General features: G+C 43.3%; 1 protein-coding gene and 1 pseudogene across 3 annotated transcripts in view, besides 2 other annotated features; one reads left to right on the top strand and one right to left on the bottom strand.

Annotated features, from left to right (window-relative positions):
- RNY4P5 (RNY4 pseudogene 5) lies at positions 12,490-12,584 on the bottom strand (annotated as a pseudogene).
- DERL1 (derlin 1) overlaps positions 14,999-24,637 on the top strand; it is a 29,133-nt gene continuing 19,494 nt past the window's right edge. For all 3 annotated transcript variants that reach the window (NM_001330601.2, NM_001134671.3, NM_024295.6), the window contains exon 1: positions 14,999-15,331. Coding sequence is in view for 2 of the 3 variants with exons in the window: in NM_001134671.3 (NP_001128143.1) it covers positions 15,179-15,331 (153 nt within the window). In the remaining variant the exon portion in view is untranslated. The remainder of the gene's footprint in view (positions 15,332-24,637) is intronic.
- Positions 15,050-15,589: an enhancer, noted in NCBI's record as "active region_27866". NCBI's record gives its function as "activates an Ori minimal core promoter by ATAC-STARR-seq in GM12878 lymphoblastoid cells {active_cell/tissue: GM12878}" and the evidence as "EXISTENCE:reporter gene assay evidence [ECO:0000049][PMID:35858748]".
- Positions 19,509-19,638: an enhancer, noted in NCBI's record as "active region_27865". NCBI's record gives its function as "activates an Ori minimal core promoter by ATAC-STARR-seq in GM12878 lymphoblastoid cells {active_cell/tissue: GM12878}" and the evidence as "EXISTENCE:reporter gene assay evidence [ECO:0000049][PMID:35858748]".

Below are 24,637 nucleotides of genomic sequence, written 5' to 3'. Positions count from 1 at the left end.
AAAATTATAATCTGCAGGTAGTGACCTATTCCAAAGATCCCCCTGGGCAGAAGGCTGTGGGGGTCAAAAGATGTTGGGACTGTCTCCACAGGACTGAATAATTAGCCTTGATTTGCAGGTGCCCAATAACATTTGTGAGCTCAGAGGACAAGTTGTCAATCAAGCATGAGAAAATGCCAGTAAACTATGAGTAAAATGCCTCTAATTGCTGTAAGGGTGGAAGACAAAGTGATTGAACTAAGCATTTATTGTCCAGTAAAGTATTCTAGGGCAGTGCAGTATCCCTCCTCGGGCACCCTCCCTGAGGAGTAAGGATGACCAGCAAGAAATCAGCACCTAACAGACCCCTCCTCAGCCAAACATCACATCAACTGGCTCTTCAGTTTCTTTCCTTCTCTGTGTGGCCTTAGCAGTACAAACCATTTTTTCCAAGTGTTTTTGTTTTTATTATATTGATGGGTTTGATAAATACTGCAAGCAACTTTCCATGTGAGAAAAGAAAAAGATAAGAGGATAAGCACAATAGATCACTGATTTATTCTATAGACTTTGGAAGAGTACTGTCTGTTAGTGAAATCAGGCCCAGCAGTTGGGCCCAGCAGCTTAACCCTGCAGAGAATTTCTTTTCAAGGAAGTAGGTGTGAACATCTGGGGCATGGAGAGGGTAATGGAACCAACATTGACTAGACATCTGTGCCAGGTATGTGTTAGCTGCTTTTCACTTTATTCTAGTTTGTTCTTTGGCCTTGCTTCCTTTTTTTTTTTTTTGATGGAGTCTCTGTCTGTCGCCCAGGCTGGAGGGCAGTGGCACGATCTCTGCTCACTGCAACTTCTGCCTCCTGGATTCAAGCAATTCTCCTGCCTCAGCCTCCCAAGTAGCTGGGATTACAGACACCCACCATCACATCCGGCTAATTTTTGTATTTTTAGTAGAGACAGGGTTTCACCATATTGGCCAGGCTGGTCTCAAACTCATGATCTCAGGTGATCCACCCGCCTTGGCCTCCCAAAGTGCGGGGATTACAGGCGTGAGCAACTGCACCTGGCCTCTTTTTTGTTTTTAAATCCCGTAGAAGGTCCTACTTGAATTTAGCATTATATTAAAACCTCTAACTCATAGGTACTGTGAACATAGAGTTCCAATTTCATGTTTTCTGTTCTGTTCTCCCCACTAAATACATTTGCATTTATTAGATCTTGTCCCTGAGTAATGGTTGGGAAAATATGCGTAGTATACTTAAAGGCATGAAACCCAGACACCTGAGTTCCACTCCATTGCTTACTGTAATAGTACTATAACCTTGGACAAAGTATTTAACTTCTCTGTTTCTTGATTTCTTCATCTGTAAAATCAGTATCATAATAGGACTCACCTCATAGAGTTGCAAAAAGTTTAAACAGCATCAGGCAAACAGAAGTCCTCAATGGGTGCTAGCTATTATTAAAGCCCTGCCAGGCGGGTACCAGTGATGTGCTATAAATGTTTAATGACCGCCGCCTCTCTGGACAAAAAGAGTTCTGGTATGTAACATTTGGCAATTTCTGTGGTGGAAATACTCCTGTGATGGCCAATTTCAGGCTATCAATGTAATATCACTGAATGCAGAGTTGGACAGAGGTAAGCAACAGTACACTATTATATAGTATGTTTACTGTACAGACACAGTAGACATAAATAACTTCAAGAGCATAGATAATAGTAAAATACAGCATTATAATTAGAAAGGCTGGGCGTGGTGGCTTATGCCTGTAATCCCAGCACTTTGGGAGGCCGAGGCAGGTGGATCACCTGAGGTCACAAGTTTGAGACCAGCCTGGCCAACATGGTGGAACCCCATCTCTACTAAAAATACAAAATTAGCTGGGCATGGTGGCATATGCCTGTAATCCCAGCTACTTGGGACGCTGAGGCAGGAGAATTGCTTGAACTGGGAGGTGGAGGTTGCAGTGAGCCGATATCGCGCCACTGCACTCCAGCCTGGGCAACAAGAGTGATATTCCATCTCAAAAATAAATAAATAAATAAATAAATAAATAAATAAATAAATAAATAAATAGGAAGTTGGTACTTATTACCTTTTGAAATATAATGTGTTTTAATGTAAGTTTATATAATTTAATTTAATTTTGTTTTTAGGGACAGGGTCTCTCTTCATTGTCCAGGCTGGAGAGCAGTGGTGTGATCATAGCTCACTGCAGCCTCAAACTCTTAGGCTCAAGTGTTCCTCCTGCCTCGGCCTCCCAAAATGCTGGAATTACAGGCATGAGCCATTGCACCCAGCCTAATTTAATTAGAAAAATATAATTTTAAATTTTTTGTTTCCATAGGTTTTTTGGGGTATAAGTGGTATTGATTATGAGTAAGTTCTTTATTGGTGATTTGTGTGCACCCACCACCCAAGCAGTATACACTGCACCCAATTTGTAGTCTTTTATCCCTCACCCCCTTCCCACCCTTCCCCCCAAGTCCTCAAAGTCCTTTGTATCCTTCTTATGCCTTTGCATCCTCATAGCTTAGCTCCTGCTTATGAGTGAGAACATACGAGTAACATATTCCTGAGTTACTTCACTTAGAATAATGGTCTCCAACTCCATCCAAGTTGTTGTGAATGCCATTAATTAATTCCTTTTTTATGGCTGAGTCGTATTCCATCGTATATATATATGCCACAGTTTCTTTATCTACCTATTGATTGATAGACATTTAGGCTAGTTCTACATTTTTGCAATTGCGAATTGTTCTCTAATTTAATTTTTAATAACAGCTGTGTTTAATAATTGACTCAGAAAATTCAACATTTGGCTCCAGTAGCTGGTGTGAGCTGGCTACAACAGTGCATTCAACTTTATCAACTTAGACATTTGATAATACTTTAGTTGTTTATTGCTGTGCAACAAACCAGCTCAAAACTTACTGGCTTAAAACAACCGTGATTTCCTTTTTTTTTTTTTTTACAATTCTGTGAGTTGACTGGGCTCAGCTGAACAGTTCTTCAGCCCTGCATGGTACAGCCAAGGCCTCTCATGGTTGCATTCAGCTGAAGCTCAGCTGGGGTAGAACATCCAAGATGGCTTCTCATCCATCAGGGCCTCTCTCCACATGACCTCTTATCATTCAGTAGTCTAGCTTGAGCTTCTTCACATGCTGTTGGCATCTAAGAAATGTTCCACTGGGAGTGGTGGCTCACATCTGTAATCCCAGCACTTTGGGAGGCCAAGATGAGTGGATCACTTGAGGTTGGGAGTTCAAGACCAGCCTGGTGAAACCAGATTCTACTAAAAATACAAAAAATTGGCCTGGCATGGTAGCATATGCCTGTAGTCCCAGCTACCTGGGAGGCTGAGACAGGAGAATCGCTTGAACCTGGGAGGCGGAGGTTGCAGTGAGCTGAGATTGTTCCACTGCACTCCAGCATGAGTGACAGAGTGAGACTGCATTTCAAATAAAAAACCCCAAACAAACTCAGTGTTTGTCAACCGGGGTGATTTTGCCATAAAGGACATCTGGCAATATCTGCAGACATTTTTGGTTGTCATACCTGGGGAAGAGGTTCTACTGTCATGGGGTGGCCATAGATGCTGCAAATTATTCTACAATGCACAGGACAGCCCCTCACAAGCAAAGAACTATCAACCCAAAATGTCAACAGTGCCCAGGTTGAGAAACTCTGCACGTAACCTGACACATGCACCATTTTGGCTGTTTAGTATGTACACTTTCTCTTTTCAACACATTTTCCCCTGCTGCTTTTGACAGCAAGTACAAGGTATAAAATTCTCTTAGCGCTCTCTAAATGTGTGTTCAGCCTATTTGGCTTGGCTTCAAACAAATATGACAGATGTAGCATTTTTGGCTCAAATGCCTTGCCAGTCAAGCATATGCATGTTTGCACATCACGTTTGCAATGGCAGCAATAATATTCTGTGACTAAAAGGGGTTGCACATTCAACTTTTACTGAGACATCTCAAATTATTTTGTTTTTCCTCTGAGTCTTTTGGCTCTCAGGCGTTCTTGGTGCCTCTCTCTGCTCTCTTCCTCAGGTAAACGGTTCTCTCCTGTTCCTCGTGATACCAAGGTTACATTTGCTCTTTTTTTTTTTGAGAAAGAGTCTCGCCCTATCGCCCAGGCTGGAGTGCAGTGGTGCAATCTCAGCTCACTGCAACCTCCACTTCCCAGGTTCATGCGATTCTCCTGCTTAGCCTCCAGAGTAGCTGGGACTAGAGGTGTGTGCCACCACTCCCGGCTAATTTTTGTATTTTTAGTAGAGACGAGGTTTCACAATATTGACCAGGCTGGTCTCAAACGCCTGACCTTGTGATCCGCCTGCCTCAGCTTCCCAATGTACTGGGATTACAGGCATGAGCCACCACACCCAGCCACTTTTGTGCTCTTTTTATAAAGGGATGCCCATTTATTAGCTCAGTTTTTTTTCTTTTCCTTTTTTTTTTGAGACGTAGTTTCACTCTTGTTGTCCAGGCTGGAGTGCAATGGCACAATCTCCACTCACTGCAACCTCTGCCTTCCGGGTTCAAGCAATTCTTCTGTCTCAGCTTCCCAAGTAGCTGGGATTACAGGCATGCGCCACCATGCCCGGCTAGTTTTTTGTATTTAGTAGAGAAGGGGTTTTATCATGTTAGTCAGGCTGGTCTCAAACTCGTGACCTCAGGTGATCCACCCACCTCGGCCTCCCAACGTGCTAAGATTACAGGCATGAGCCACCGCACCTGGCCAATAAATATGAATTGAGCTCCTACTGTGCGCAAGAGCTGCTCTGGGTGGGGGGGCTACAGCAGTGAACAAAACCAAGTCGTGCTTGCATGCAGCTTGCATTCTAGCTGGGGAGACAGACAATGAACAAATAAGAAAATAAATAAATGGTATGTTGGGTAATGAAAAGTGAGGAAACATTTAAGCAGAATAAAGGGATGAGACTGATAGCATGGGATGGTATTTTGATTAAAGTGTTCAGGGAATGTACCACTGAAGGGTGTTGTCTAAGCTGTACAGAAGGAAGACCCAAAAACTCCCCTCCCTTCCCCTCCCCTCCCCTCCCCTCCCTTTCTCTTCTGTTTTAGAGACAAAGTCTCATCTCACCATGTTGCCCAGGCTGATCTCAAACTCCTAACCTCAAGCAGTCCTCCTGCCTCAGCCTCCCAAAGTGCTGGGATTGCAGGTGTGAGCCACCATGCCTGGCCCAAGACAGGTTTTCAGTAATGCACTATACTGTGTGGAGGTTTGGTTTAAAAGAACAGAAATTTATTCTTTCACATATCTGGAGGCCAGAAGTCCTAAGTCAAGACTGGGCATGTTGGCTGGGATCACACCTGTAATCCCAGCACTTTGGAAGGCCAAGTCAGGCAGATTACTTGAGGTCAGGAGTTCGAGACCAACTTGGCCAACATGGCAAAACCCTGTCTCTACTAAAAAAATTCAAAACTTAGCCAGGTGTGGTGAGGCTCACCTGTAATCCTAGCTACTCAGGAGGCTGAGGCAGGAGAACTGCCTCTGTTCTCCTGGGAGAACTGGGAGGCAGAGGTTGCAGTGAGCAGAGATCGTGCCACTGCACTCCAGCCTGGGCAACAGAGCGAGACTGTGTCACAAAAAAAAAAATCCTAAGTCAAGGTATTGACAGGGCTGGTTCCTACTGGAGGCACTGAAGGGGAGTCTGTTCCATGCCCTCCTCCTAGTTTCTAGAGGTTGCTGGCGATCCTTGGCATTCCTTGGTTTGTAGATGTGTTACTCTAATTTCTGCCTCTGTCTCCACATGATCTTCTCTCTCTCTTTCTCCCTCTCTCTGTGTGTGTCCACGTTTTTTCTTTTATATTAAGACACCAGTCAGGCCAATTGAAGTGGCTCACGCCTGTGATCCCAGCCCTTTGGGGGGCCGAGGCAGGCAGATCACCTGAGGTCAGGAATTCGAGACCAGCCTGGCCAACATGGTGAAATCCTGTCTCTACTAAAAAAAAAAAAAAAAAAAAATTAGCCGGGTGTGGTAAAGGGCACCTGTCATCCCAGCTACTCAGGAGGCTGAGGCAGGAGAATCGCTTGAACCCTGGAGGTGGAGGTTGCAGTGAGCCAAGATTGTGCCATTGCACTCCAGCCTGGGCAACAAGAGTGAGACTCTGTCTCAAAAAAAAAAAAAAAAAAAAAAGACATCAGTTGGCTGGGTGTGGTGGCTCACGCCTGTAATCCTAGCACTTTGGGAGGCCAAGGCAGGTGGATTGCCTGAGCTCAGGAGTTCTAGACCAGCCTGGCCAATATGGTGAAACCCCGTCTCTACTAGAATATAAAAAATTAGCCGGGTGTGGTGGTGGGCACCTGTAATCCCAGCTACTCAGGAGGCTGAGGCAGGAGAATCACTGGAACCTGGGAGGCGGAGGTTGCAGTGAGCCAAGATCATGCCACTGAACTCCAGCCTGGACTCTGTCTCAAAAAAAAAAAAAAAAAAAAAGACACCAGTCATTGGATTTGGCCTCATCCTGATTCAGTATGATTCAGCTTAACCTGATTACATCTGCAAAGACTCTATTTCCAAATGTGACATTCACAGGTACTGGGTGCTAGGGCTTCAACATACCTTTTGGAGGAACACAATCCAACTTGCAACAGTGTTGTTTTGAGTTATCACAATAACTAGGGGACATGCAGCCATGTAGGGCAGGGGCCAGGGGTGCTAGGAAGACATTCCACAATGTGCAAGATGGCCCACACCCATTTGTCAATTCCTAAGATACTGCTGTAAGTAAAAACCCTGTTTGTAATATCTGAACCTAGAACTAACTCTGTTTTACATATAAACATAAAGAATATTTATAGGGATTCAGTATACACTAAATTTTCCTGAAATGCAACCACTCTTCTACTATATTCTTTCTTTCTTTGTTTTTAACTATTCTACTGTTTTCATCGAGAAAGACTGTACTATTTTTCCCTTTCACTTTTTTCTTTTTAGAGATGGGAACTTACTCTGTTGCCCAGGCTGGAGTCCAGTGGCACAATAATAGCTCACTGCAGCCTCCACTTCCTGGCTCAAGTGATTCTCCCACTTCAGCCTCCCGAGTAGCCGGGAATAGAGGTGGGTGCCACCAAACCTGGCTGATTTTTTAATTTTTATGTTTGTAGAGACGGGGTCTTGCTATGTTACCCAGGCTGGTCCCAAACTTCTGGCCTCAAGTTATGCCCCTGCCTTGGCCTCCCAAAGTGCTAGGATTAAAGGTACTGAGCCACCACACCCAGCTTTTTAATTCTTTTTTTTTTTTTTTTTTTTGAGACGGAGTCTCTCTCTGTCGCCCAGGCTGGAGTGCAGTGGCGCGATTTAATTCTTTTTTACTTGTGTGTGTATTCTTATTTCCTCTTCTTTCTTACATGAAAAGTAACATATTATATACTATTTTGCACTTTACTTTCTTCACTTACTAGGGTATCTGACATTTTTTGTACAATATTTTATGCTGTTACAAGTTTATCTTCAAGGTAAACTACTAAAATTGCCATTGTCGAGTTAAAGAGTAAATGTATACATTGTTTCTATTGTTATACAATATTTCCTATTGTACTATTTTTTGCCAATCTGATAGGTGAGAAATGGTATCTCGGTATGATTTTAATTTGCATTTCTCATATTATGAGAAAATTGAGTATCTTTTAATGTTTTAAGGTAATTTAATTTTTTTGTGAATTATCTGTTTGTGTGTTTTATCTGTTTTTCTGTCAGGTTTTTGGTCTTTCTCCCCCTCATTTTTTACAAGTTCTTATATACTTGGTTATTTTAGCCTTTTATCTATGATATATCTTGGAAATAATTTCTCCCACTTAGTCATTTACCTCTACGTGATTTTTTGTCATGCAAACACATTTTATTTTTATATCATTGAATCTGTCTTTTATCACATTTGAATTTTTATGCACTCTATTATATTCAGAATTTTTCCAAGGGCTGTCCACCATTGTGGACAGTCATGTAACCAATGCCAATCGATTCAGCTGGTGGTGTTTGAGCCACAAATACAACACATGGATATCTGTCTGCATTTATAGCTCTCAACTCGCCATAAATCTATAACTGCAAGTACCAGACGTTTTCATGACGTTTGCTAATATAGTTGTGCCTGATCATTAACATTAAAATCTATATTATAGTAGAAGTTGGTTTCCTTTTTTTCTCATTATATCACAATTAGGGCATTATATTTATTTTATTGGAGTTGTAATTTATAACCTATGGTTTTCATTGTGGCATTGGGATAGCAAATATTTTAAAAGACAGCATTTGGCCTCATAGGGTTGAGGACCACTCCTCTGGGGGAAGTGTGTTCCAGGCTAAAGGTACAGCAATCACATGAATGCCTTGAACTGTCCAATGCAGGGAAGGTATTGAGGCTGGAGCAGAGTGACAAGGGAAAAGTGAGAGGTCACAGAAATTGCCAAGGTTCACATCATATAGGGCCTGGAAGGTCATGGTAAGGACCTTGCATCATGCTTTCCACTCTAGCTAGAATAAAATGCAATGTGGCTTTGAGCAAGAGAGTGACAGGGTCTCATTTAGGCTCCTGTGGGATTGCAGACTGCAGAGGGGTGCAACGGAAGCAGGGATACCAATTGGAAGTCCACTGCAGAAGTCCAGGCACTGAGGACGGGTGTGGTGGCTTACTCCTGCAATCCCAGAACTTTTGGAGGCTGAGGCAGGTGGATCACCTGAGGTGGGGAGTTTGAGACCAGCCTGACCAATATGGTGAAACCCCGTCTCTACTAAAAATACAAAAATTGGTCAGGCTGTGGTGGCATGCACCTGTAATCCCAGCTACTCAGGAGGCTGAGGCAGGAGAATCGCTTGAACCTGGGAGGCGGAGGTTGCAGTGAGCCAAGATTGCACCACTGGACTCCAGTCTGGGTGACAGACGGAGATCCTGTTTCAAAAAAAAAAAAAAAAAAGTCCCGACACCGGCATGATAGTAGTTGGGCCAGGGGGTAGCTCAGTGGAAAAGTTGGGAAGTGGTTTAATTTGGGACATATTTTGAAGGTGGAGGGGTCAGGATTTGCTCACGAAATCTATTTAGTCTTGTGTGAGGAGCCATAAAATCCAGGCTCTACCTGGGCGGAACTTATACTCTAGAGGAGGAGACAGCTACCACACACACAAACAGTTATCAAACTATGTTCTAAGTGCAATGATGGTGATTTGTGCAGGGTATTCTAGGAGTACAGAGGAAGTTGGTGGTGGGTATTTAACCTAGCCTGGGTGGTGGTGACTGGGATAAGGGTAGGGAAAAGTTCTAGGATGAATCATAATTCATTGCAGTGAACAAGCCTTTATTGAGCACCTACTATGTACCGGGCACAGTTCTAGGCACTGGGGACACAAAAGTGATCAAAACAAAGTCCCTGTCCTCATGGAGCTCACATTCTAGAGGGCACGATCTGAGACCCTCTTCTTGTTTTGTTTGGTTTTTCTCTAGAGACAGAGTCTTGCTCTGTTGCTAAGGCTGGAGTGCAGTGTTGTGATCATGGCTTGCTGCAGCCTCGACCTCCTGGGCTCAGGTGATCCTCCCACTTCAGCCTCCCAAGTAGCTGGGACTATAGGCACATACCATAATGCTTGCTAATTAAAAAAAATTCTTTTTTTGTAGAGATGGGGTCTTGCTATATTATGCAGGTTGGCTCTTCCTGTTTTTGGTGAAAGCAATTTATATATATATATATATATATATATATATATATATATATATATATGGTATATATGTAACATAACTCATTGGTGTTGTAAAGCTATAGTCATAGGATTCTGGAATGCCATTCTCTTGGGGCATCTGACTGTTTTCAGAGAGAAAGAAAGAGGAAGGGGAGGGAAGGGCTTTGACTTGAGTGGGAGGAAGGGCAGGCAGGACTGGAATGAGACTTTTATTTTTATTTATTTATTTATTTATTTTGAGATGGAGTCTCGCTCTGTCACCCAGGCTGCAGTGCAGTGGCGTGATCTCAGCTCACTGTAACCTCTGCCTCCCAGGTTCAAGCAATTCTCCTGCCTCAGCCTCCCGAGTAGCTGGGATTATAGGTGCCCACCACCATGCCCAGCTAATTTTTGTTTTTAGTCGAGATGGGGTTTTACCATATTGGCCAAGCTGGTCTCAAACTTCTGACCTCAGGTGATCCACCCGCCTTGGCCTCCCAAAGTACTGGGATTACAGGTGTGAGCCACTGTGCTTGGCCCAGAGTCACCTTTCTAAGGTGAAAAGCAAGATGGCAATATGAAGTACGTGGGCAGATCTGGATTTTTTTGGGCCTAAAGTTTATACAGTTTGGAGGACCTACTTCAAGAAACATCATATAAAATTATGAATACAGGGCTGGGCATGGTGGCTTATGTTTGTAACCCCAGTACTTTGGGAGGCCGAGGGGGGGAGGTCACTTGAGGTCAGGAGTTCGAGAGCAGCCTGGTCAACATGGTGAAACCCATCTCTACTAAAAATATAAAAATTAGCTGGGCATGGTTGCAGGTGCCTGTAATCGTAGCTACTTGGGAGACTGAAGCACGCGCGTCGCTTGAACCCAGAAGGCAGAAGTTGCAGTGAGCCGAGATCACACCACTGCATGCCAGCCTGGGCAACCTGGGCAAGAGAGTGAAAACTCTGTCTCAAAAAAAAAAAAAATTTACAAAGTTTTGCACAGAGCCTTGGAAAGGCCTGTGCAAGTGAGGGGTCCTGTAGCCTAAGTTTGATTAGGTTCACAATCACACCACCTCTGGGAGGAAAAGTCATTGAGCTGTTAATATCTTTTTATTTTAAATCCTACTCCTGGAAATCAGTTCAACAAAAGGATCGAGAGGCAGTGTGGCCTAGTGGGTAAGAACAGTAAAATACAAGGTCCTTTCCATAACCTACAGTGTCCTCCATGATTCCAGTGACTCTCTCCTTCCTTTGTCTCTTGACCCTCCATCCCCACTCTCGCTCCACTCAGCCACATGGGTCTTCGTGTTTAAGGTCTCCATGCCAGCCACATTCCCACCTCAAGGTCTTTGCCATTCCTTCTATCTGAACTGTTCTTCCTCCAGATCTCCACACTGCTTGCTCTTTCACCACCCTGAGACGTGTACTCAATATCTTCTGAGTTTGCAGTGAGGCCTTCCCTCACCAGCCCAAATCTCCTTTTCTTCTTTTTTCTTTTCCTATTCCTATTGCCAGTTTACCTACTGTACATGTTACTTTTTTTTTTTTTTTTTTTGAGAGGAGTTTCGCTCTTGTTGCCCAGGCTGGAGTGCAATGGCGCAATCTCAGCTCACTGCAAACTTCACCTCCCGAGTTCAAGTGATTCTCCTGCCTCAGCCTCCTGAGTAGCTGGGATTACAGGCGCATGCCACCATGCCCGGTTAATTTTTGTATTTTCAGTAGAGACGGGGTTTCCCCATGTTGGCCAGGCTGGTCTCGAACTCCTGACCTCAGGTGATCTGCCCACCTTGGCCTCCCAAAAGTGCTGGGATCACAGGCGTGAGCCACCGCGCCCAGCCTGTACATCTTACTTTTATCTCTTTCTGTTGTCTTTCTGCCTCCTCTAGAATGTAAGTTCCAAGAGGGTGGAGATAATTGTCAGTTTAGTTCACTGTTTAGAACTGTTATTGGTATATAACAAGCACTGGACAAAAGCATTGCTGAATAAATGAATGAAAGAGCACCACCTTTGGGCTGGGCGTGGTGGCTCATGCCTGTAGTCCCAGCGCTTTGGGAGGCCGAGGTGTGTGGATCACTTGAGGCCAGGGGTTTGGAACCAGCCTGGCCAACATAGCGAAACCCTGTCTCTACTAAAAATACAAAAAAGTAGCCAGGCATGGTGGTGGACACCTGTAATTCTGGCTACTTGGCAGGCTGAGGCAGGAGGATTGCTTGAACCCAGGAGGCGGAGTTTGCAGTGAGCCGAGATTGCGCCACTGGCACTCCAGCCTGGGTGACAGAAGCGAGAGGGAGACGCTGTCTCAAGAAAAAAAAAGAAAAAAAAAAGCACCACCTTTGGCTTTAAATAGATCTGGGTTGAAGTTTTATATATGCACCTGCCGGCAAGTGCCAAGTTACTTAACTTCTCTAAGGCTGTTTCTTCATTTGTAAATGGAAATAAAAGTACTTCATAGGGTTGAAGCATTGTTGTAAAGACTAATTAAAACCATGCCCATAAAGGGCATAGCTGAGTGCCAATCAAACTGTAGACACTCAGCAAATGTTAGATATTAGTAAATAAAAAAGTTAGCTATTAGTATAAAATGTATATGCATAAAGGTATTCATTATAGAACTATATATAGTATTTAAAAACAGGTATCAGAAATAGGAAAATGGTCAAAAGATTCTGCCACATCACTAGTAGAATATTAGTCATTAAAATGATTATTAAGACTTTGTAGAAAGAGAAAGCCTTTAAAAAATAATTATTTAAATAATATTATTAATAAATTAATAATAAATTTAATAAATATTCAATATTATTTAAAAATAATAAATATTTTTAAAAGCCAGTCAAATTTAGCAGTGGGGGGTTGTATACCAACTTTAGTGACACTAATGTTAATAAGTTCTGATAAATCACTACCATCGGACCAGCCAGAAAGCCTTTGAATGTAAAGTTACAAGAAAAGACCAGACATACCTGGCCTACCGTTGCTCTGATTTAAACTTCAGTGTTTCTAAAGGCCGAAGTTGAATTCCAGAGCATTCACTATGAATTCTAGAGCACAACTTAGAAATAAACACTGCCAGGCCGGGCGCGGTGGCTCACGCCTGTAATCCCAGCACTTTGTGAGGCCGAGGCGGGCAGATCATGAGGTCAGGAGATTGAGACCATCTTGGCTAACACGGTGAAACCCCGTCTCTACTAAAAATACAAAAAATTAGCCGGGCGTGCTGGCGGACGCCTGTAGTCTCAGCTACTCGGGAGGCTGTGGCAGCAGAATCGCTTGAACCCGGGAGGCGGAGCTTGCAGTGAGCCGAGATCCCGCCACTGCACTCCAGCCTGGGCGACAGAGCAAGACTCCGTCTCAAAAAAAAAAAAAAAAAAGAAATAAACACTGCCAGATATTGGGTGTACATTTTTCTTGTTCTTGTCTTTTCTCATGCACGTGTACTTTTAAGTTTATCAGAGAAACTTTCCTTAGCCCTCCACCTAAGCCAGATAACCCCTGTTTTCTTTCACTGTACCTTGGTTATGAGTAGTGGGTACAAAACAATGGTGGTGGTAGTAGAGGGAAATAAACAGAATAAACCTCAGGCAATATCGTCAAGTATTATCTGTTATTTATATAAATATCTAGCTTTTATATCAAAATTATCTTTTTGTAAGGCTGTATCAATTTATATTCCCACCAGCTGTGTTCTTCGTAGATTTGCTATCCATTGGTTCCCAAATGTTGTATACTCTCATTACACTGTGGAATATTTAATGCCTTTTTGTTATGAAAAAACTGTTTTTATTAATTAACATCAAGGATATGGTGCTGACAAATATTCTCTAAAATTATGGAATGTTGGAAACTCTGCTGTCTGACATCCTTTCCGTGTGAATGGAACATCCCATTCTTGTCCAGAGCATCTGAGCCATACAGGTCACTTTGACACAGGATTTTCAATACAGGTACAAAGCTTTAGATAGAGTTTTCAGACCCAACGTTTCACATTTGTCGTAATTTTGAGATTTCCAAGGAAAGAGCCTGCTTCCTACTCAGGTCTGATGTTAACCTGATGCTGCACACAGCTCTGCTTTGCTTCGAGTCTATCAAACACTGCTCCAGTTAATTCTTACCAAAAAATCCCCCCATTCCCATAACCCAATAATGACACTTCCGTTTGATGAGAGGCATTGAGGTTCCTCTGGAGTGCAGTCTCCCTTGCTGCAGCAAGTTAATAAATCTAACTTTGTTGACTACAGGTTTGTTCCTGGTGCTCTTTATTGGAAGACTTTAGCAATCTTAAACTGCTGGCCCCAAATCCCAAAACAACGGGAAACTCTACTCAGTATCTTTTCTTTTTTTCTTTTTTTTGAGATGGAGTCTGGCTCTTGTCCCCCAGGCTGGAGTGCAATGGTGCAATCTCGGCTCGCTGTAACCTCCACCTCCCGGGTTCAAGCGATTCTCCTGCCTCAGCCTCCCAAGTAGCTGGGACTACAGGCGCCCTCCACCATGCCCGGCTAATTTTTGTATTTTTAGTAGAGACGGGGTTTCATCATGTTGGCCAGGCTGGTCTCGAACTCCTGACCTCGTGATCCGCCCGCCTCGGCCTCCCAAAGTGCTGGGATTACAGGCGTGAGCCACCGCGCCTGGCCAGTATCTTTTCTTAAAGATTCCTTCTTATACAAGTTGAATTAGACAAGATGGATCATTTTGGCTTTTAGTTCCTCCAACATTCCAACCTAGTTAGAGCGGCTTTTCTCTGTGCATGGAAAATTCTTCCCCCAGATCTCTTGCCTGGCTGGCCCAGTTCATACCTAAGGTAGCCATCTGTCCTCACACTGCCGCACCCCCACCCCGTCACTCCACCTCATCATCTCATTTCATTTTCCTATTTTTCTAATCACTCTCTGAGATTATCTTACTTCATTATCTATTTGTTTATAAATTATCCCAATGAGGATGTTAAGATCAGGAGAGAGGGTACCACGACAGCGCTGACAGCCGCAGCTGCCCAGTGTCTAGAACTGTGCCCAACAAACACTTGTGGAATGAGTAAGCAGACGAGGAACTAGACACTTCGTTTGCCTTCGTCCCCTTTAAATACCCTCCAGGTGGACCCAGCCGCATTAAAACTCTGAGAACTAGGTGAATGGCATTTGGCCTCGCCACTGGCCGGAGCGTTTGCCGTTGATCCAGGCAACCACTGTTTTCCCACCAGTCGTGTAGTCGCTCTACCTGGCTCCGCCCCCCAGGACGCCGAGCCTCGGCCGGGCGGTAAAATCGGCGCTTACCCTTTAAGCGGCGGGACTTCTGGTCACGTCGTCCGCGGTCGCCGGAAGGGGAAGTTTCGCCTCAGAAGGCTGCCTCGCTGGTCCGAATTCGGTGGCGCCACGTCCGCCCGTCTCCGCCTTCTGCATCGCGGCTTCGGCGGCTTCCACCTAGACACCTAACAGTCGCGGAGCCGGCCGCGTCGTGAGGGGGTCGGCACGGGGAGTCGGGCGGTCTTGTGCATCTTGGCTACCTGTGGGTCGAAGATGTCGGACATCGGAGACTGGTTCAGGAGCATCCCGGCGATCACGCGCTATTGGTTCGCCGCCACCGTCGCCGTGCCCTTGGTCGGCAAACTCGGCCTCATCAGCCCGGCCTACCTCTTCCTCTGGCCCGAAGCCTTCCTTTATCGCTTTCAGGTACTTACCGGAGACGGGGGGCGTGGAGACTACAGGCCCCAGGAGGCCCAGCGGCGGCTAAGCGTAGGCTGGCATGTTGCGGGCGCGCGGTGCCTGCTGGGATTTGTAGTGGGTCCGGCGCCGGCGGTTTAGGGCGGGGTCCTTTGGGCCCGGGGAGGCTCTGGGATCTGGAGCGGGGTGCTGGATAGCTGGAGTTGTGGGCTGGCCTGGTGGGGAGGGGTTGACTTCACTGGTATAGTGAGATTGTGCTTCCCGCTCTTCGCACTCAGTGAAGGAAGCAGTGAGATTAGTCGTTGGTAGTTGTCAATCTGTTGGACGCTGGCGATTAGGTCCGCCTGGAGCATTGCCCTCTGACCTCCCTCTGTCACCCACGTGGGTGGCCTGTAGGTGTCAACTTCACCAACTTATAGCTGAGTTCCTTTCACGTTTATGGAGTTTTTTTGTTTTGGTTTTCCTATAGGAGTGATTTAAAGTCAGAGATACAAAGAACGAGTGTATTGTTCTGCATTTCCCTCTAGACCTAATTTAGTGTCCCCCACGTAGTAATAGAATGTACGAAGGAATGGGCAAAGAGTACATTTGTCCAGAAATGGAAGGCCTTGTTATTTTCTTAAGCATGAAGGAAACAGTCCAGAGTAACATTTCTGTCAAGAGAGTGCCAGTTTTCTGAAGGTTATCTGTATTCACCAATTTCTGATTTAAAACTTCAATCAGTGGCAGGTCAGATAGCAAGATCTGGCATTAATTTCAGCCCTTTACTTGGCCTATGGATAACATTTTCTTGTCTTTCCCTGTCTTCACTGGGTGTTACTTCTTGGTTTCCTTTGCTGGTTCCTTATCTTCCTGACTTTTAAATGTTAGGATGTGCCTTGGGAATCAGTTATAGGACCTTTTCTATAGACTCTCCCTAGCTTTAGGTGGTCTCATTCATTCAGCCTCAGGGCTTTACATACTTTCTATAAACTGGAGATTCTGAAATATAAATATAAATATCTTCAGTCCAGATCTGTCTCCCTATTTCCAGATTTGTGCATCCAGCAGTTACTTGAAATCACGACTTGGATGACTAAGAGTCATCTTCATCTTAACGTGTCCAAAACTGAATCCCCTTTCCCCCTTTGCCTTAGAAGTGAATAGCAACTCCGTTATTAGAGGAGCTGAAGTTAATTGTCGGAGTCATCTTTTATTTTTCTTGTTTTTCTCACACCCCACAATCTGTCAGCAAATCCTATTGACTCTACTTGAGACATATATCCAGAATACAATCCCTTTTCATTCTCCATTGCAAGCCATTATCACTGCAATCTGGTTCCTTTCCATCTTTTCTCTAGACAGCTAGAGTGATCCTTTTAAAACCTACATCAAGTCCTGTCTTTCCTCTGTCCAGAATCCTACCATGTCTTCTTAATGAGTAAAATCCAAGTCCTTTCAGTGGCCTGCAAGGCCCCTGCTGCTTCTCTGACCTCATCTCCTACTACTCTCCAACTTGTACCTTAGGCTCCACAATGAGATCCTTGCTGTTACTTCAGTGCTTATCTGGATCTCTCCTCAGGGCCTTTGCACATGTTGTTTCTCTGCCTGAGGAAGATAACCGTGGCTCAGTTGTTTACCTCCTAACCTTCTTCAGATCTCTGCCCAAATGCCGTCTTGTTGACAAGGCCTTCTCTGATGGCCGTACATAAAATAGCCCGTCCTTCACTCCACTCCCTTATCCCTTATCCTTCATTTTTCTTTCTTTCTTTCTTTTTTTTGGAGACGGAGTCTCGCTCTGTTGCCCAGGCTGGAGTGTATATGGCGCAATCTTGGTTCACTGCAACCTCTGTCTCCTGGGTTCAAGCAGTTCTCCTGTCTCAGCCTCCCAAGTAGCTGGAATTACAGGTGCACACCACCATGCCCAGCTAATTTTTGTATTTTAGTAGAGACGGGGTTTCGCCATGTTGGCCAGACTGGTCTTGAACTCCTGACCTCAGGTGATCCACCCGCCTCAGCCTCCCAAAGTGCTGGGATTAGAGGCGTGAGCCACTGAGCCTGGCCTTATCCTTCATTTTTCTTGCTACATATTACCCTTTGGTATTTATTAGTCTGCTTCCCCTCAGAGAATAAGGCTCCATGAGAGCCGTTCACCACTGTCCTTGTTACCTGGAATAGTGCCTGGGACGTAGTAGGTGCTTATATATTAACTGAGTTGTTGGAAGTAATTGGGCACTTGCTGTGTGCTGGGCACTGGGGTACAATAGTAAATAGGACTGAAAAGGTTTCAGAGCCTGTGAAGACATAGAGGCACGTGTTTTAAGGGGTGTAATATTTGATAGGGTGTTCCACCCAGAAAGGCCTCAGAGAAGACATTTGAAGAAATTGGAATACTGAGGAGCCAGCCAGCCAGCTTTGGGTAGATCTGGCTCTGGAGACAACCTTCCAGGAAGGACTAGTAAGTGAAAGGCTCAGAAGTAGGAGCTGGGAACAGGAAGAAGACTGGGTTGCCAGCTGGCACAGGGTCAGCTGTAGGGTGAGGATTAGTAGATGACAGCAGGGAGATAGCCAGGGCTGGGTGTAGTAAAGCTAAGATGGAAAGGTGGGTTAAAGCTAGATCATAGTTGAGCCTTGTAGGTCATGTTAAGAGGTTTGAACTTTATTTTGAGGGCACTATGAAGTCTTTGGAGCCTTGTGAACAAAGGACTGACAGATTGCCCCGACTATTCTGTGGAGTGGACTTTGTGTGTGTATGGAGGGGGTTGAAGGAGGAAGGGCTAGGTGATGAGATCAGAGAGATGAATCCAGTTAGGAGGCCAGAGAGATGGTGGTTTGGATCAGTGTGGCTGTGAAGATAGAGAAAAGGGCATAGACTTGGCAGAGGGGACGAGATTACAGCCGAATGGATATAAAGAGTGAATGGGTGAAGCGAGCAGGACTGAAAGATACTACTGTTTTCACAGGAGCAGCTGAGTGGATGGCGGAGCCCTTGACTGAGATGGGGAATGGTCAGGGATACCTGGGTTGGGAGTGGGGGCTGGTATGGATGAAGAGTTAGGTTTTGGCTGTGCTAAGTCTTGAGATGCTTTTCAGGCATCCATGTGGCGAGGCCAAGGGAGCAGTTGGATATAAAAACATGACTCTGGAGTGCAGCTGGAATTGCATACTGTTCTGTGTTTATTACTTTACTAAATATTTGTTGGCTGAGAGAATGTTGTGTACTTTGTCCCTGGTGGCTTGTTGGGTAATGTGTGGTCATGGGGAGCAATGGTGGCATATTAATGTGTGAGAAGGACCTGGTCAAAACCGGCTTGTTGTCCCTGTTAGCAAAATCCTCACTTGTGTAGTGACACTAGTGACTACACGATGTAAATAAGCACATTGTAAAGAAGCAATGTAAATAAGCCTAACAGGCTGCGGGTGTATAAGGTTAAAAGTGGTGAACTGATTAAAAAGAGTAATCGTTCTTGTCACATCTTCCACAATTTTGTCATCTTCCCTGTATTATTTCTTCTCAGCTGCCAGCAGGAGGCAGGACAGTGTACTGCCCAGGTGTGAAAAGACCAACAGCTGTACCTTGTCTTTTCTTCCTGTTACTCTGATTCTTGCCTATTTTGGACACATGTAACTTTCAGACCCACCTGGAGGAACTCATTTGCAAATGAAGCAGTCAAGGAAAAACTGCATTTGAGAGGCTGCTGTGCACGGACAGTGTGCGGTGTGCTTTAGCAGAGTTCTGCTAGAAAGTTCCTTTTTTCCTTAGAAGCTGAATCTTTCACAACTTACAAAAATGGGGGAGTGATTGATTTAGAATTGTGTGCTCATGTTGGAAGTGACAAGTTATTTTTCCTCCTCAGCTCTAGATTCTTGTGTGTAGCTTGTTGGTTTAGAACGCTGAGGTTTATAATGTTATTTCTTTAGTTTGGATAGGTTGAAACAGGTGTGTGTTAAGACTCATTATACTGTTGTCTACGATTTCTCCCTATTCTGAGTCCCTCAGATTTATGTTCATCAATCAAATAGTTCACAATAATGAAATGTCTTCATATTAATCGTTGATTAACTACACAAGAGGTGGCAATTCCTGCTGCCTTTGTGTTTTCTAAGGTTATGTCTCCCAGGGCCGCCTGCATGGCTATATTTCTTCATTTCTTTGGACAAAATAACATCACCCTGTTACAACTTCCCTGAGGTCATGTCACTGAACTCTGACAGTCATCCTGAGATAAGTGTTACCCCCATTTTGTAGACAGCTTCAGTTTCAGTTTCTATTTCGTTGAGTCAAGGATAGTTCTAAGCTGTTTTGTTTAACTCCTTTGCATAATATCTACGAAAAAAATAAGTATGTAGCAAAACATTTTTGAAGGTGATTTCTTCCAAATCAATCATAGCAAATTGTTTTTCCTTTTCTATTCGAGTAGAAAGGCTGTTAGATTTCAAGTAGTTGAATCATGGTCTCAAGGCCTGGCTCAGTCCCCTGCTAGTTGTGTACCCTTAGGCAAGTTATTTATCCTGTCTGAGCCTCAATTTCTTTAGGATCTGAGGATAATATCATAGCATATTAACTTTGTTCTAAGACTCCATTGATTATACGATGCACCATCAATTTAATGCAACTTTTTTGGGGGACAGGGGAGTAGAAATTACATTCAACGAGTGTATTGATTGTAAGACACTCTAATTTCAGAAACACAGGAACGAGTACCTTCAAATTGAGGAAATATGTTATCTACTTCTTGCCTCTAGTATGTAGAACACATAGAAAAATGTTTGTAATACCCAATAAGTAGCCTGATAAATAAGCTATTCAAAAATAGTTGCCTCCTACGTGGTTGGTATGGGAAAAAAAATAGTTGCCAATTTTTATTTATCAGCCAATACTTTATGCCTTATTTCCTTCTCTCCTGGACAGTAAGATTCTAATTTTAATTAGTAATTGCAATTGAAATGTAACTGCTGGATGATTATTCTGCTTTGTCTTCTTAAAAGCATCCTGACTTGAAATGGGAAGATGTGAACTCTTGATTTCTCTAATTTATTTCCAGGAATAAGAAATGGTACCAACCAATTCTGTGACTCAGCCTTGTGCTTATATTTGCCAAGCTTTTGCTTATATATCACATTTAACCTGATGACAGCAACCTTAGGAGACTGATTTAAGGGTGTATTGGGGAAGAGAGACGTTTCAACATAGCAGGGAGGAGAATGAACTTGGACTATAGGCTGAGCATAGAAGTTCTATATCCATCAAGGTTTGGCTATAGAACTCTAGTGGCAAGTGTTCTGGTACGTAATTTAAGATCTTTCCTTAGTAGTCCTGTCCATGTTGAACAGTTCTGCTGTGTTCTGTAATAATGTTGCCCATTAGATTGTGGCTTTTTAAAAAACTTTTTATTGAGTTACAATATACAAGCAGGAAAGTGTATGTATAATAAGTTTATAGCTTGAGTTTTTAAAAATTCAAAACATGTATACAGCCAGCATTCAGATCAAGAAACAGAATCTCTAAAAGCTTTCTCCTGCTTCCTTCTGGTCACTGTCCTCTCTAAGGGTGACTATGCTCTTGATTTTTAATACCATGTATTGTTGTTGCCAGTTTTTATGCTTTTTATAGGTGGAATTATGAAGTATGTTCTCTTTTGTGTCTACCTGCTTTTATCAACATTATGAGAGTCACCCATATTGTTGCATGTGGTTATAGGTTGCTCATTATGGGACCATACCACAATTTATTTACTCATTCAGCTATTAATGGACCTTTTGGGCAGTTTCCAGTTTGGCTATTATGAATGGTGCTGCTATGAACATTCTAATACATGTCTTGGTGAACATATGTACTTCTTGGTGAGGAGAAATAGTAATTTCTGTTGCCTATATATCTAGGAGTAGATTTGATGGCTTCTAATTGCTCTTTTTAAAGATTAAGTGCCTTTCATTTGTTTAAATGAATGGAAGGGGCCTTTTCTTGCCTACCCGTTGTGTCTCCCCACCCAGCAAAAAAGGCCACAGTTTACTAAACTAGCATTTGTCACACAGGTGCTCATCATCTTTCTTGCTTGGTGACTGATATATACTTAAGTCCGAATCAAGTGATCCTTATTATTTCAGACAAATCCTCACTTTTCATACTTTAAAAAAAAAAACACTAGATTCTGGATGGCAAATTATTTCAGTAGCAGATTGTTTAGAAGATTTTAGCTAAAGGATGGCTGCAACCTACACTCTGAAGTTGTTGGACTAATAACTGAGGAACAATGTCTTATGTCTTCTTTAAGGGTGTATATAGCAGTGAGCACATGGGCTACATGTCCTTGTTAAGTGAGGAACTCTAATTAGGGCCCAGCTTTCCTCCTGAAAAAACTGGGATCATTATGGGCCTGGCCTTGAGGTTGCTGTGGACTTAAAATGAGATACTCCCCCACGAGTCCTCTCAGTAAGTGTGAGGCAGGCAGTCCTCTGTCTGCAAGTCGTGGCTCTTTGTGCTGCAGTTGGCTGCCTCTTAGGCTTTCCAGGGTTGAAAATGGGCCTCTTCACTCCTGGCACTGAACGTAAAGCCAGTTCCTTCTCCTTACTGTTTACATATCAGGTCGAGGAAAAAATGGGATTTAGTTGGATACTTACAATGGGGATTTCCGAAATATGTTACACTGTGTCCTTCTAAAGAGATAAGCTGTCTTCTGGTGTTTTCAGATTATAATTTTAAAGTAACACAAAAATAATATTAAGTCTTTTAGATCAATGAAAGCAAGTATAACTCAAGGGTAGGCTTAATGAACAGGGAAAAGAAGTGAGATATTTTGACAGACACTGATTTCCAAAGAACAGGTGCAAACAGTGACTAAAAATAGTCTTATGTCATCAGCATTAGAGAAAATGTAGTCAGACAAAAACAAGGTTTCTTTTCCAAAACCAGGCCTTGAGTAACTTATAGGAATATGGGGGTAGTTGAAATATGAATTTATAAAAACTGGTTAGCGGGTGTTTCCGAAAAGATTGTGATAATACAATTAACACACCCACACATATTAATTCTTTTTGCATAGTATCTTTTTAATTCACTTTCTTAATTCCAACCTTTTACAAATCCTGTAAGATAAGGAAGGCAGAAGTCATAGGATAATGTCATTGGGTAGATGATGAAGCCAATTTGACGTCCATACTTTTCCAAGGGTCCAGGGCTACCTAGAGGGTTTGCTTCTGGTCTTTACTCCCAGTCCTTTTCTTAAGCACAGAGAATTAATTAGTAGGTTTACTCTGAGTCTATTTCAGGATTACACAAGTGTCTGTAGTAGTGAACACTTACACTAATTGTAATTGTACCTCATAATACTGACGCCATTTGTGAGAGGGATTGTAAAAATAGGGGCTTAGTATCACAAACTCTGGAGTCAGACTGTCTGGGATAAAATTCTAGCTTCACCACTTACTGGCTGATACTTAACCTTTTCTCATCCTGTTTCCTCATCTATGAAATCCGTCTCCTGAATCAGTGCGTGTAAATAAGCTGAGTAGCACATTAATTTATTGATTTCTTTAAAAAAATTAACTATGGAAATTGAGGCTCGGAAGTGGTGACTTATAAGCAAAAACTTAAACCCAGGTCTTCTCAAGTCATCTCCAGTTCCCTTTCCACTAAACTATCCTGTTTCTGTGATAAAGTTGTGAATGAATCAAACCAAATGTTAAACTATTTTATTTTTCTGGTTTAATACACGTTTCTTGGAAAGTCACTTTTTTGGTATGCACATTGCATTTCCCTCTACAAGGAATTAAGCTCTGAGGGTTACATTCCTGTACTTGGAGAATGGAACTGGCCAGTCTGTATGTGGCCAGTCCCCGTGACTGACGTCCTCCATTCCAGCCACACTTGAATTGTTAGCAGTACCCATTCAGTTATTGTGCTCTTGCAATTCTTGGGGCCTTTGTAACAAGTCCACATGTCCCCTCCCTTGTGCCAACCCTTTCTTCCTTTGACAGCCTTCCCCACTACTCTGAGGAATTCAGGGGCCATGTCTTTTGTGCTTGGTACATGCTAGTGTGCAATGAGATAGACACATATCTCTCACACCAAAAGCCAGCATTTTGCTGCCATTTCCAAAAGTTTAGGAAGGCCATCTGCTTCAATCACTATTTAGCATTGTTCTGGTGGGGGTGCCAGCCAGTGAATTAGACAAGAATGAAATAAGATACAAAAGTTTATTTACAGCTAGGGTTGTATGCTTGGAAAGCCCAAGAAGCTCAATTTTCTTTTTTGTTAAGACATAGTTTCGCTCTTGTTGCCCAGGCTGGAGTGCAGTGTTGTGATCTCGGCTCACTGCAACCTCTGCCTCCTGGATTCAAGCGATTCTCCTGCCTCAGCCTCCCGAGTAGCTGGGATTACAGGCATGTGCCACCACGCCCGGCTAATTTTGTGTTTTTAGTAGAGACAAGGTTTCTCCACCTTGGTCAGCCTGGTCTCGAACTCCCGACCTCAGGTGATCTGCCCACCTCGGCCTCCCAAAGTGCTGGGATTACAGGCATGAGCCACTACTCCCGGCCGAAGCTCAATTTTCAATATTGTAGGCAGTAAGATACTCAGCTTTTGTGGTTAAGTATAAAAAGGTAGAAAGAGATAGCTCTATAGACAACTCTAAAAGCTATGAAAAACTTCTTGGCTGGGAATTATATCAATATCACATGGATATAATAAAAGAATGGTTCTAATTCATTTAGAAAAATAAAATATTGAGACTAACCAAGAAAATTGTGACAATTGTTGAAGAAAAAAAGGGGGAGATATTATTTAGCTGTTTAACTTTACCAGCTATTAAAATATGTTATAAAAGGAATAGAAACTAGGCTAGGCCCAGTGGCTCATGCCTATAATTTCAGCACTTTGGGAGGCTGAGGTGGGAGCATCATTTGAGGCTGGTAGTTTGAGAGCAGTCTGGACAACATAGGAAGAGCCCGTCTCAAAAAACAAACAAACAAAATTACCAGGTGTGATGGTACATGCCTGTAGTCCTAGCCACTTGGGAGGCTGAGTGGAGAATTGCTTGAACCCAGAAATTTGAGGTTACAGTGAGCTGTGGTCAAAACACTGCGCTCCAGCCTGAGCAACAGACTGAGACCTTGTCTCAAAAAAAAAAAAAAAAAAGAAAATAGAAATTAAAATAACTTGATATTGGCATAGGAACCAATTCCAAACAGAATGGTGTTAAAATAGACCTACATGTAAAAGAGACTAGAGTATAAACGTTCAATGAAAGTAGTTTTTCAAATAATTGGAAAAAATGTGGGTTACTCTGTAAATGGGGTTGGGAAAACTGGGTGACTATTTAGAAAAACAGTTGGATC

The sequence above is a fragment of the Homo sapiens genome, chromosome 8 (assembly GCF_000001405.40).
Source record: "Homo sapiens chromosome 8, GRCh38.p14 Primary Assembly".
NCBI classification, from domain to species: domain Eukaryota; kingdom Metazoa; phylum Chordata; class Mammalia; order Primates; family Hominidae; genus Homo; species Homo sapiens.
The sequence above is the reverse complement of the archived record's forward strand: the minus strand, read 5'-3'. Positions and strand labels throughout refer to the sequence as shown.